The sequence below is a fragment of the Homo sapiens genome, chromosome 2, assembly GCF_000001405.40.
Source record: "Homo sapiens chromosome 2, GRCh38.p14 Primary Assembly".
Taxonomy (NCBI): Eukaryota; Metazoa; Chordata; class Mammalia; order Primates; family Hominidae; genus Homo; species Homo sapiens.
In genome coordinates this window covers 38,643,298-38,656,327 of record NC_000002.12, presented here as the reverse complement: position 1 = coordinate 38,656,327, position 13,030 = coordinate 38,643,298, and the positions used below count along the sequence as shown (strand labels likewise).

At 47.0% G+C, this 13,030-nt stretch overlaps 2 annotated features.

Annotated features, from left to right (window-relative positions):
• Positions 1,512-2,185: a transcriptional cis regulatory region, noted in NCBI's record as "candidate enhancer chr2.1528 targeted for multiplex CRISPR interference". NCBI's record gives its function as "positively regulates GALM gene expression with high confidence in K562 cells {active_cell/tissue: K562}" and the evidence as "EXISTENCE:mutant phenotype evidence [ECO:0000015][PMID:30612741]".
• Positions 12,127-12,639: a transcriptional cis regulatory region, noted in NCBI's record as "candidate enhancer chr2.1526 targeted for multiplex CRISPR interference". NCBI's record gives its function as "positively regulates GALM and HNRNPLL gene expression with high confidence in K562 cells {active_cell/tissue: K562}" and the evidence as "EXISTENCE:mutant phenotype evidence [ECO:0000015][PMID:30612741]".

Genomic DNA, 13,030 nt, shown 5'->3' with positions numbered 1-13,030 from the left:
AGGCATTCTGTTAATGTAGCAAAAAGGAGAAGACATTGGGGGAATAACTAGAACTCTGCCGCATTCTTTATTAATAGTTGATGGTATTTAAATATATACTTTCCTAGGACCTTGGAGGGTTGGCAGTGCATCCTCTTTCCTCCCATCCTTCATATACATTGAGAATCTGAGCCTGTGTCTTGGGTGTGTACTGGTCGCTAGGTGTTTATGAGTACACACCGGGGGTGTCAGATACACTTCAGGCATGACCCAAGGTGAGAAAACAGAGGAGTCAGATGATTTCCTGGGATCTAGGAGAACACAGAAATTTTATTCCAGACGATGGTGCACTTATGAGTGTGGAGTTAGGGACCCTGAGGATCGCAGTGGGAAGGTCCGAAAGAGCTCTAGACAGAGATGTTCATTATGCCCAGAGGGCGGTGGTACAGAGTAAGAACCATTTTGATGGCAATGGGTTGTCAACAGAAGCGCTCAAGCCATGCAGGGTTTCCCCCAACCCTTGCAGAGCTGGCTCCCATGAAAGACATGGAGAACTCCAAGTCACAGGAGACTGACAGTTGGAAGGAGAGGTTTCCAGGAGTCAACACTGACCCAGTGTAGTTACAGTAAGGAATTTCCTTGGACCAATGACTGGGAGCTACCTGGGGCACTATCCCGAGTCATAGCCAGATGAGGTCCCCAGGGATGGCTTTGCAGCTGGTAGGAGTTTCCACTAATTAATGGGAGAGCTCTGCAGTGTATCCCTGTAGTTCCAGGAAAGCCTCTCTATGGATGACTTCAGCCTCTGCTCAAAGTAGAAGCTTGGCCAGCAAATTCCACTTGGAGTTCTACAGCTCTTTGAGCCTCAGTCATGTCCCTTGATTTTGTGCCATCTCTTAGCAAATTCTTCCTTACAGGTGGGGGAGACACTCATTGACCAGATTAACTTTGTTCTGAATGGGGTCGTAGCAGAGGCAGTTCCTGTCAAGAAATGCCACATTTTTGAAAAAAACAAAACAAAAACAAACTGAGAATGAAGCCCTTTTGAATGGTTTCAAGTATGCCAGTAGGTACACCAAGACGAGTGGTGCTGTGGTTTGAATGTATCCCCTCTAAAATTCATGTTGAAACTTAATCCCCATTGTGGTAGTATTAAGAAGTGAGGTCTTTTGGGAAGTGATGACGTCATGAAGGTTCTGCCCTCATGAATGGATTAGTGGCTTATAAGAGGCTGGAGAGAACCAGCTTAGATGCTTTTGCCCTTCCTTCCCTCCCACTACGTGAGGACACAGCCTTCAAGGCACCATCTTAGAAGGAGAGACCTGGCCCTAACCAGGCACCAAGCCCTCCGGCACCTTCATCTTCGACTTCCCAGCGTCCAGGACTGTGAGAAATCAATTTCTGCTGTTGATAAATTATCCAGTCTCAGGTAGTTTTGTTACAGCAGTACAAACGGACTAAGATAGGTGGCATTGATTGATGAAACTGTGTGGCTTCTCCAGAAGGAGAGAGAGAGAGGGAAAGGCAAGGAGGGGAGATGGCGTTTAACCACACACTGGGACAGAAGTATGGCTGTGACCTCGGGGCAAGAGGGAAGTCTTTTCAGCAGAGCCTTTTCCTGGGCTCCTGGGGCACGTGCAAGTGGAAATGGCTGAGTAAGTTTATTTCAGCAACTGTGCGGCCCTAGGAAAAGCTGAACTACTGATAAAAAGCCGAGAGGAACTAGAGCAAAGAATCTAGCCAGATAGGACGGCTCTGGCAGACCTCATGTGGCCAGGCAGACCCCATATGGCCAGGCTTACAAGACAGGGTCCCTCCACAGTCAGGGCTGGCGGTGAGTCCATTAGATGGCCAGCAAGTGTGTTCCGCCCTGTTCTAGAGCAGAGGCCCTGTGCTCCGTGGTCTGTTGGAACAGCCCACTGGGTGCAGTGTGGACTGTAGTCAGAAGGTCAGAGGCCCGCAGGCTAATCCAGCCCTGCCTTGGGCAGGCTTGAACAGAGAAATGTAAGCGTCGCTTCTGTGTCTCTTCAAAAGGCTAACATTGAATCTAGGTGAGAGAATTGCAGTGGAATTGGCAGTTTCTTCTGAGTTTAACCACATTCTATAAAGATGTGTGGTTATGCAAGGGCCAGGCGAGGTCAGGAGAGGGCAAATGTGACAAGCTCCTGGGCAGTGTTTTTTTCTGACACCAGCTCTGACACCCAATCACACCAACCAAATCTATGACACCAATTGGGTGTCCCATAATTCAATTTTGACATGGCCTATCTGGAGTTAGTGTCAGATCCCACAAGTTAAAGGGCTCAGTCTCACAAGACTGCCCCTGTCTTCAGATACCAGCTGCAAATAGGGTGCCCAGGCTACCCACACTTCTGCCCAGACCACTACAAATGTGAGGGTTTCCATGACCTCCTTTCAGGTTTGCTAATTCACTAGGATGACTCACAGAACTCAGAAAAATACCTTACATGTGCTCACTGGTTTCTTATAAAGGCTAAAACTCAGGGGAAGCCAAATGAAAAAGATGCACAGGGCAAGATATGGGGGTGGGGTGGCGCAGAGCTTCCGTGCCCTCTCTTGTGCCCCATCTTTCCAGCACATCAATATGTTTACCAACCCAGAAACTCACCGAACCTATTGGTTAGGGGTTTTTGTGGAGGTTTCATTACCTAGGCAAGATTAATCAAGTCTTTGTGTTTGATAATGAAACTCAACCTTTAATCCCTCCTCACCCGCTAGGGAAGTGGGGCTGACAGTTCTCATCCTCAAATCTCTTGGTTGGTTTTTCTGGCAACCAGCTTCCATCCTGAAGCTATCTAGGGCCCCTCAATCTTGAGTCATCTCATTAGCATATAAAAAAACCCCTTATAACTCAGGCGATTCCAAGGGACAAGACTATATATATATTAGAGATAGTGTCTATGTTGCTCAGGCTGGAGTGCAGTAACACCATCATAGCTCACTGTAGCCTTGACCTCCTGGGTTCAAGCGATCCTCCTACCTTAGCCTCCCAAGTAGTTGAGACTACAGATTCATGCCACCACACTCAGCTAATTCTTAAAAAAAATTTTGTAGGCCAGTCATGGTGGCTTACGCTTGTAATCCCAGCACTTTGGGAGGCCGAGGTGAGAGGATCGCTTAAGCTCAGGAGTTTGAGACCAGCTGAGCAACATAAGACCTTGTCTCTACTTAAAAAAAAAAAAAAAAAAAAATTAGCCAGACATAGTGGTGCATGCCTATAGTCCTGGCTACTCTGGAGGCTGAGACAGGAGGATCACTTGAGCCTAGGAGATCCAGGCTACAGTGAGCTGTGATTGCACCACTGCACTCAGCCTGGGTAACAGAGGGAAAGCCTGTCTCAAAAAAAGAAAACAAAAAAATGGTTGTTCATAGAGATGGAGTCTCACTGTTTTGCCCAGGCTGGTCTTGAACTCCTGGGCTCAAGTGATCTTCCTGCTTCAGCCTCCCAAAGTGCTGGAGCTGCAGGTGTGAGCCACTATACCTGGCCAATTTAAAGATCTTAGTTGGCTTTTATTTACAGTTCTAGAATCGAGCAATACCTCATTCCATAAAATATGATGAGTGTTCCGATAAGCTGAGCAGAGGAGGTTGGCTTTAGAAACGAGAAGTGGGGAGAGAAGCAGAAACAGAAAATGAAAAGTGGATTGGTGGTTTCAAATTTCCTTTCCTTGTAAAGGTTAAAGTAGAGAAGATTTTCTTATCATATCAGCTCAAATAGCTTGGGTACTGGGCTATTATCTCACTCTCAATTTCTGGGAAGGTCAGATAAACAATTTATTTTCAACTTGGTGGGGTGGAGCTTCAGTGTGAGTGACTATTTTGGTTTGGTCTGTCAGGCCTAGTGCAGGAGCTCAGTTCAAACCAATGGCCTCCTCTAAATTGTATTTAATAACAGTAAGTCTAAGGAGGGACCTGGCCTCTATTTTTTTTTTTTTTTTTTTGAGACAGAGTCTTGCTCCATCGCCTAGGCTGGAGTGCAGTGGCGTGATCTTGTCTCACTACAACCTCTGCCTCCCGGGTTCAAGAGATTCTCATGCTTCAGCCTCCCTGGTAGCTGGCACCACAGGTGTGTGCCACCATGCCAGGCTAATTTTTGTATTTTTGGTAGAGAAGGGGTTTTGCCATGTTGCCCAGGCTGGTCTCAGACTCCTGACCTCAAGTGATCCACCCGCCTTGGCCTTCCAAAGTGCTGGGATTACAGGCGTGAGTCACTGCACCTGGCCCTGGCCTCTTTTTCTTTTTCTTTTTTTTTTTTTTAAGACAGAGTTGTGCTCTCGTTGCCCAGGCTGGAGTGCAGTGGCACAATCTCGGCTCACCGCAACCTCCGCCTCCCGGGTTCAAGTGATTCTCGTGCTTCAGCCTCCCTAGTAGCTGGCACCACAGGTGTGTGCCACCATGCCAGGCTAATTTTTGTATTTTTGGTAGAGATGGGGTTGTGCCATGTTGCCCAGGCTGGTCTGGGACTCCTGACCTCAAGTGATCCACCTGCATTGGCCTTCCAAAGTGCTGGGATTACAGGCGTGAGCCACTGCACCTGGCCCTGGCCTCTATTTTTTTTTTTTTTTTTTTTGAGATGGAGTTTTGCTCTTGTCGCCCAGGCTGGAGTGCAGTGGCGCAATCTCGGCTCACCGCAACCTCCGCCTGCCGGGTTCGAGTGATTCTCCTGTCTCAGCCTTCCGAGTAGCTGGGATTACAGGCATGCACCACCATGGTCGGCTAATTTTGTATTTTTAGTAGAGATGGGGTTTCTCCATGTTGGTCAGGCTAGTCTCAAACTCCCGACCTCAGGTGATCCACCCGCCTCGGCCTCCCAAAGTGCTGGGATTACAGGCGTGAGCCACTGTGCCCAGCCCCTGGCCTCTATTTTTAATAAACTCTCTAAATGATTACCACGCTCACTGAAGTTTGAAAACAAAGGGGTATACATTTTTTTGAGTCCCTCACCCCCAGCACCACTCCTTCCCATGAAGCCTATTCAGTCATGCTCTGAAGGAAGAGCCCCATTTGACTCAGGTTGGCCTTCTTCCTTAAGGGCCAGGCAGAAGGATGGCTGAGTACAGAGGATGGCTTGGCGGAGCGCATCTACTTTAGGATCCTGGAGATTCTGCCGCAGGTTGGAATCAGATTCTCAGGAAAAGGAATCAGAATTCACATTGGTTAGTGTCTGCTGTATCAAGCAATGTGCATGCTATGCATTTTTATGTGGTTTAATCTGTGAGGGAGGTATAACCACTGTCATTTCATAGCTGAGAAAATTGAGACTCAAAGAGGACTGGGGCCAAAGAGTCACACTGGTATTCAAATTCAGGCCTGCCTGGCTCCAATGTCTACCCCCAAATAGTATGTAATGGGCAGGGAACATGTTGAGCTTGTGTGACTTGGCTGTGAGCTTGAGCTGCTGCAGCCACAGTGTAGTGCTCTTCGCTCCATCATCACTGCGTCTGGAACAGTGGGAAGGACAGGACAGCTCTGTGCTGCCAAATAGGAGCACCATCAGCTCCCAGATGCTGCTTCCTGAAGCACTACTTTCTCAAAGCCTCCCTGGGGAATCAGCAGTCCTGCTGAATGTGTCCCTGTCTCTCTGTAGATTATGCTGCTCTCAGATCCCTGAGGTAGAGCCTGGCCAAAGGTTCTGGAGATTGTTGGAACCTCCACATCTAATGCTGAATCTAGCTTGGTTGATGCCAATTTGACCTTCTTCTGATGTGGTGAATGTCCCCTGGACGGCTCTGTGGTCCTAAGTCCTGTCTGCAAGGCCAGGGAGGGCTGGGTAGGAGAACAGCCCTTCTGTTCAGGGCTGGTATAGAGGGAGATGGGCTGAAATAGAAAAGGCGTCACTTAGGGCTTTCTGAGTAAGGCAAATCCAAATCCAACAGCAACAGTGGGAAAATAAATAGAAGGAATATAAAAATCAGCAGCCAGAACTTTGACAGTAGGTCAGAATAGAGTGGAATAGGTGATGGGAGGTGATTTAGGGATGAGTCTGTGAGGCCACAGCTTGGCCAACACACATGGAGCGTGTCACAGGGCAAGAATAGGAACTTGGAGGAAGTATGTGCACCTGGCCAAACTGTGCTGTACTTCCATGAGTTTGTTTATTCATCCAAGGTGGAGTCGCAGTGTGACATGACATTGATGGAAGGGACAGGACAGGAAGGCGGCGGTGTTGTTGGGAGAAATTAGCCAAGTGATCACCAGGGTGTAAATTCACCTTTTAGTCCAGGGTCTGGTCCTCAGCCTTTCAGGCAGGAAACTCGGTATTGTCAGTGCCCCAGGATTCGTCCTGCTTAGAGACTAACCCCAGCTACATTTTTAAGGACTGGTATATAAGATAAAAGCCTATTCTATCTATTTAAAAGAGATTATCCTCTTCCAGGGCCTGGAATGTTCTAATCTCCCTTTCCTAGTATGGAAGAACTGGTGATGATGAATTAGATGAATTAACAATCAACGGCCGGCTAGGCGTGGTGGCTCATGCCTGTAATCCCAGCACCTTGGGAGGCTGAGGAAGGGTGGATCACCTGAGGTCAGGAGTTCCAGACCAGCCCGGACAACACGGTGAAACCCTGTCTCTAATGAAAATACAAAAATTACCTGGGCATGGTGGTGGGCGCCTGTAATCCCAGCTATTTGGGTGGCTGAGGCAGGAGAATCCCTTGAGCCCGGGAGGCAGAGGTTGCAGTGAGCAGAGATCATGCCACTGCGTGACAGAGCGAGATTCCATCTCAAAAACAAAAACAAACAAACAAAAAAAACAAGGGCCATTTTATGAGCATGAGTTGCTGCAAAGAGCTGGCTAGGAAATGTACGTGCCCAAGGAAAGGTCCATGCTTCACAAGAGGGAGTTCATCTCTGATGACGAACTGCTGATGCGCCTCAGATTCAGTGTCTTCCCTGGACAGTGCTGGATATTATCAACCAATGTTTGTATCTTCAACTCTTCTTTTTCTATGCCTCTGTATCAGAGTTGCACAATTTTTTTTTCTTTTTTCTTGAGTTGGAGTCTCGCTCTGTCTCCCAGGCTGGAATGCAGTGGTGCGATCTCAGCTCACCGAAAACTCTGCCCCCCATGTTCAAGCGATTCTCTTGCTTCAGCTTCCCCTGTAGCTGGGATTACAGGTACGCAACACCATGCCCAGCTAATTTTTGTATTTTTAGTAGAGACGTGGTTTCACCATGTTGTCCAGGCTGGTCTCAAACTTCTGACCTCAAATGATCTTCCTGCCTTGGCCTCCCCAAGAGAGTTGCATAATTTAACTTGTGCTCCAACTTTGTTGTGCAGATGAAATGGGTTTTCCTATCAGTTTGTCCATAGCTGCTCTGGTCTTCTATTAAGCCACCACTCACTTGGTTAGTTGTTGTTGGTGGTGGTGAAGATGATTGAAATGTCCAGTCTGGTTTAAAGCATGGTAATGCTGATCATTGACATAATTCCTTTAGCTATGTTCAGTTTCTCTTGGATGAATTATCTCAATAATCTCCCGGTCTTCCTGCTTCTTCTCCTAACGTGGTGAACAGATGTATGGAGAAGAGAGACTAGTATGGCTTATGAGTCTTCACCACAGCAGGAAGAGCCACGGGCCCCTTCTGGGTCCCCCGCCTTCTCTCTCCTTTGTCCACCTGTTTTCTGTGTGCTCTGCTGGTCTGAAGCTGCAGCCTGTAGCAGTTAGCATGTGGTCGTGAACTGAAGGTCCTGCAGGTCCGGCACTGGTCCCGTGGTCCTGCACAGCCTTGGCAATGCATCTTGGGAACACTGGCCCCTTTTCCATTACAGACTTGACTTGCCCTCAGCTCTGACTGTGAACACTGAGCCTCTGCTTTGTCCCCCACTTGTCGCCTGCCCTGGTTGTGAAACCTGCCCAATTGTCCCATACAACTAATGTTTAGAGTTTCTTCTGAATAAACATATGAATTAATCCTCTTAGTCTTAAAACTTGAGTAAGTTCCATTTGTCTTATCTGAGTTCCATTCTCAGGAAACCAACCGTCATGCCTCCCAGATAGTATCAGGAAGCTGAAACTTACCAGGTTGCTGCATCAGGACAGTGAGATGCCAGACACCTCACCCATCATGATTGCCTAACTCACCACCTGCTTCCTGTTGACCAACTCCTCTTCCTCACCCCTCTCTATTCCTGTTTTCCTGCATGTAGTTTCATTTCTTCCTTGCTGTATAAACCCCTGATTTTAGTTGATCAGGGAGATGGATTTGAGACTGATCTCCCAATTCCTTGGCTGTAGCCCCCGATTAAAGCCTTCTTCCCTGGCAATACTCACTGCCCCAGTGATTGGGTTTCTGTGTGGTGAACAGTAGGACCTAGAACAAAGCCCTGGTGTTGTAGTAAGAGTGGCCTGCTGCAGCCTATGCAGTGGGGTCTTCTCTTGGTTCAAACTCGTGTCCTCTATCATTAGTTAATACCATAATCGTCTCCGAATAGCCTCTCTACCTATGGCCTCCTCCAGTCTCTTTCTCACAGCTGCAGAGCATCTTTCTAAAATGCCCATATGATCATAAAAAACCCTTAAGAGTTTCCACTTTTCTTTTCTTTTTTTTTTTTTTTTTTTTGAGACAGAGTCTTGCTCTGTTGCCTAGGCTGGTGTGCAGTGGCGTGATCTTGGCTAACTGCAACCTCTGCCTCCCGGACTCAAGTGATTCTCCTGCCTCAGCCTCCCGAGCAGCTGGGATTACAGGCGCCAGCCATCACGCCCAGCTAATTTTTGTATTTTTAGTAGAGATGGGGTTTCACCACGTTGGCCATGCTGGTCTTGAACTCCTGACCTCAAGTGTTCCACCCGCCTCGGCCTCCCAAAGTGCTGGGATTACAGGCATGAGCCACCGTGCCCAACCTCAATTTTCTATAGGATAAACTTTCAGCTGCTTAGTCTGGTTTAAATAAGACCTTAAGCAATTTGGCCTTCGTTTACTTTCCAGCCTCATCTCTATTTTTCCTGCCTCACGTGGACATCTAACATAATACACCCTTTTAGGACCCCATGTGCTATTTTTTCTGCCTTAAATTTTCTTTTTTTCTCATTATTTAAGGCCTAGCTCAAATGCTTCTCTGTGAAACAATGTTTTCTTTTTCTTTCTTTTTGCATGGATCTCTAGTATGTCACTTATTACATCTATATGTAAGCTGAACTATTTTAAATTGAACTTAAAAATTTAAGAAAAATTTGTTTCTTCAATAAATTGTGTAATAATTAAAAACCCAATTAACAACAAATGCTCTTTTGTGTGCACAAGAAGCAGCCCTTGGTCATTAAAACAAACTCACTTTAGACACTGACATTTTTACATAATTGTAAAATATGAACATCTCAGAGTTGGTTTATTAGACTGCTTTTTCTTTTTTTTTTTTTTTTTTTGATACAGGGTCTCCCTCTGTCACCCAGGCTGGAGTGCAGTGGCAAGATCTTGGCTTACTGCAACCCCTGCCTCCTGGGCTCAAGCCATTCTCCTACCTCAGCCTCCTGGGTAGCTGGGACTACAGGCATGTGACACCATATCCGGGTAATTTTTTGTAGTGATGGAGTTTCACCATGTTGCCCAGGCTGGTCTCAAACTCCTGAGCTCAAGCGATCTGCCCGTCAAAATGTTGGGATTACAGGCATGAGCCACCGCTCCTGGCCTTTATTCAAGTACTTTTGGTCACAAATAACAGGATATTGGTTTCAACGGCAAATAACGGTACATTAACAAAAAAGTTAGAGCTGGGCATGGTGGCTCAGGCCTGTAATCCCTACACTTTGCGAGGCTGAGGCGGGCGGATCACCTGAGGTTGGTAGTTCAAGACCAGGCTGACCAACATGGAGAAACCCCGTCTCTACTAAAAATACAAAATTAGCCAGGTGTGGTGGTGCATGCCTGTAATCCTAGCTACTCGGGAGGCTGAGACAGGAGAATCGCTTGAACCTGGGAGGTGGAGGTTGCGGTGAGCCAAGATTACGCCATTGCACTCCAGCCTGGGCAACAAGAGCAAAACTCTGTCCCAAAAAAAAAAAAAAAAGTTATTTTTCTTAGGTATTGAGAAGCCAAGAACTGAGCAATGCTGGTGTAGCTGCTAAGAAATGCACCCAAGGGCCAAGGCTCTTTTAGTTTTTCTGCTCTGCATTTCCTAGCTTAGGGACTTTTATCCTCATGCTTGACACCTCATGTTACCAATTGGCTGCTGCATCTCCAGGCCTTACATCTGCTTTCTAGACAGGCAAAAGGGGGATGAGGCAACAGGAACAGAAGAAGCAGGGTTCTTCCAGCTGTATCTATCCCTTTTCATCTGGAAAGAGACACCTTACATTTTATTGGCCAGAAGTAAATCATATGGCCACCTTTGGCTGAAAAAAAGGAAAACAGAAAATTTTGCTTTTCAGCCTTTAAATAGCAGAAAAGGGCAAGAGAACAGGAATCCCCAATGTCTATCACAATGCTGTATTGGGTGAGATTACTCATTAGATAAATAATGAAGGACCTTGATAGAAGGTGGAGAGAGAGAATGGTGGAATGTTAGGATTTTTTTGAGATGGAGTGTTTTGGGGTGCAGTGGCATGATCTCAGTTCACTGCAAACTCCGCCTCCGGGTTCAAGTGATTCTCCTGCCTCAGACTCTCGAGTAGCTGGGATTACAGGCGTCCATCACCACGCCTGGCTAGTTTTTTGTATTTTTAGTAGAGACGTGGTTTCACCATGTTTTCCAGGTTGGTCTTGAACTCCTGACCTCAAGTGATCTCCCTGCCTCGGCCTACCAAAGTGCTGGGATTACAGGCACGAGCCACCACACCCGGCAGGATATTTTGGATTAAAAAACCTCAAAGTCTGTCATTGGTTTCTTGGCCTCTCCGGTTTAGCAAAGAAATCACTCAAATCTAAGAGACTTCTAACTTCTCTTTTATGGCAGTCTTCTCTCTTTTAGATTCTTCCTCCAGAATAGATTTTTTTTTTTTTTTTTTTTTGAGACGGAGTCTCGCTCTGTCGCCCAGGCTGGAGTGCAGTGGCGCGATCTTGGCTCACTGCAAGCGCCGCCTCTTGGGTTCACGCCATTCTCCTGCCTCAGCCTCCCGAGTAGCTGGGACTGCAGGCGCCCGCCACCACGCCCAGCTAATTTTTTTGTAGTTTTAGTAGAGACAGGGTTTCACCGTGTTAGCCAGGACGGTCTCGATCTCCTGACCTTGTGATCCGCCTGCCTCGGCCTCCCAAAGTGCTGGGATTACAGGCTTGAGCCACCGCGCCCGGCCCAGAATAGATTTTTTTAAAACCATCTTTATCGAGATATAATTCACATACCATAAAATTCACCCATTTAAGGTGTACAATTCGATGGTTTTAGCATATTCATAGAACTGTGCAACTACCACCAAAATCCAAGTTTAGAATATTTCCATCATCTCCAAAAGGAACCCCCACCCCGTAGGAGTCAATCCTATCTGCACCCCAAACCCCACCGCCAGGCAACCGCTCATTTAATTTCTATTTGAGCAAAAATGTTTAAAAGAGCCAGATTTTCTGCTGGAAAGTCAGTAGAACACACTATAAAAATGAGCTGCAGGATAGATACTTAAATTTAAATATATCATGAAAGGCAATTCATTTACTGTAGGAGAGTTTTTTGTGAAGGAACTGATTCCATACCGCACATAGTGAAAGCAAAATTTCTAAGCACTTCATTTCTTTCCTCATTTCACTGTCCTAAATAATCATACTGTTTTCTAAATCTTGGCTGTCTTATAGTTCAGCCTTTCTTTAAGGTAAGTGAGATTTATAAAGACATAAAGTAGATATAAAATTACAAAACTCAAAAAGAAACTCAAGGTCTGGGGCCGGGCACAGTAGCTCACGCCTGTAATCCCAGCACTTTAGGAGGCTGAGGAGGGCGGATCAACTGAGGCCAACAGTTCGAGACCAGCCTGACCAATACGGTGAAACCCCGTCTCTACTAAAAACACAAAAATTAGCCAGGTGTGGTGGCGGGCGCCTGTAATCCCAGCTACTCCGGAGGCTGAGGCAGGAGAATCGCTTGAATCTGGGAGGTGGAGGTTGCAGTGAGCCAAGATCACACCACTGCACTCCAGCCTTGGCAATAAGAGCAAAACTCCATCTCAAAAAAAAAAAAAAAAAAAAAAAAAAAGAAAAGAAAGAAACTGAGGGTCTGATTATAAGTAAGGCTTTAGTTAAAAACAAAAAATTTACCCAACGCCAGAAGCGGCCAAACAAGCTGCTCATTGACAGTGACACTGGAGTCACGTGCCTTTTCTTCTCCCCTGGTATCTGTACAAGCCCTGTCCACTTTAAGTGTTATTCACAAGAGATAATCTACTGAAACGAAAACGAGCAAGGAAGCCTAAGACTCAAGAGTAATTGCTTTCATTATTGTTGCAACATTCCCTCTAACTGTCACATCCTCCACTCTGTACCTGTTGTGTTGAGATAAAAGAGAAAACAGGAAGTGAGGTTGTTATTTAGCACAGGCAAACGACTATCACCAAGAGGTTCCAGGGCCAAGGCTTTCTGGTCAGAGGTTGAGGAGATGTACAGAAAACCAGTTTTGTACCAGATAATAGTAGAAAAGAAAGCTGTGCCCAAACAGAAGCGAGGGGGCATCCCAGTGTGCTGCCTTTGATATTAAGTTACTACCACTTAAGGTAGACAGATCTTATTTACCCCTAACGACTGCAGATTTGAATCTTGTTCATTTGGTTTCAATCACGATCAGGCTACCGAGAGGTGACAGCGTACTGGCAGCCCTCGCTTGCTCTTGGCGCCTCCTCGGCCTTGGTACCCACACTGGCCGCGCTTGAGGAGACCTTCAGCCTGCCGCTGCACTGTGGGAGCCCCTCTCTGGGATGGCCAAGGCCGGAGCCATCTCCCTCTGCTTGTGGGGAGGTGTGGAGGAAGAAGTGCAGGCGGGAACTGAGGCTGCACGCGGCGCACGCGGGCCAGCGCGAGTTCCAGGTGGGCGCGGGCTCAACGGGCCCCGCACTCCGAGCAGCCGGCCGGCACCGCCAGCCCCAGGCAGTGAGGGGCTTAGCACCCGGGA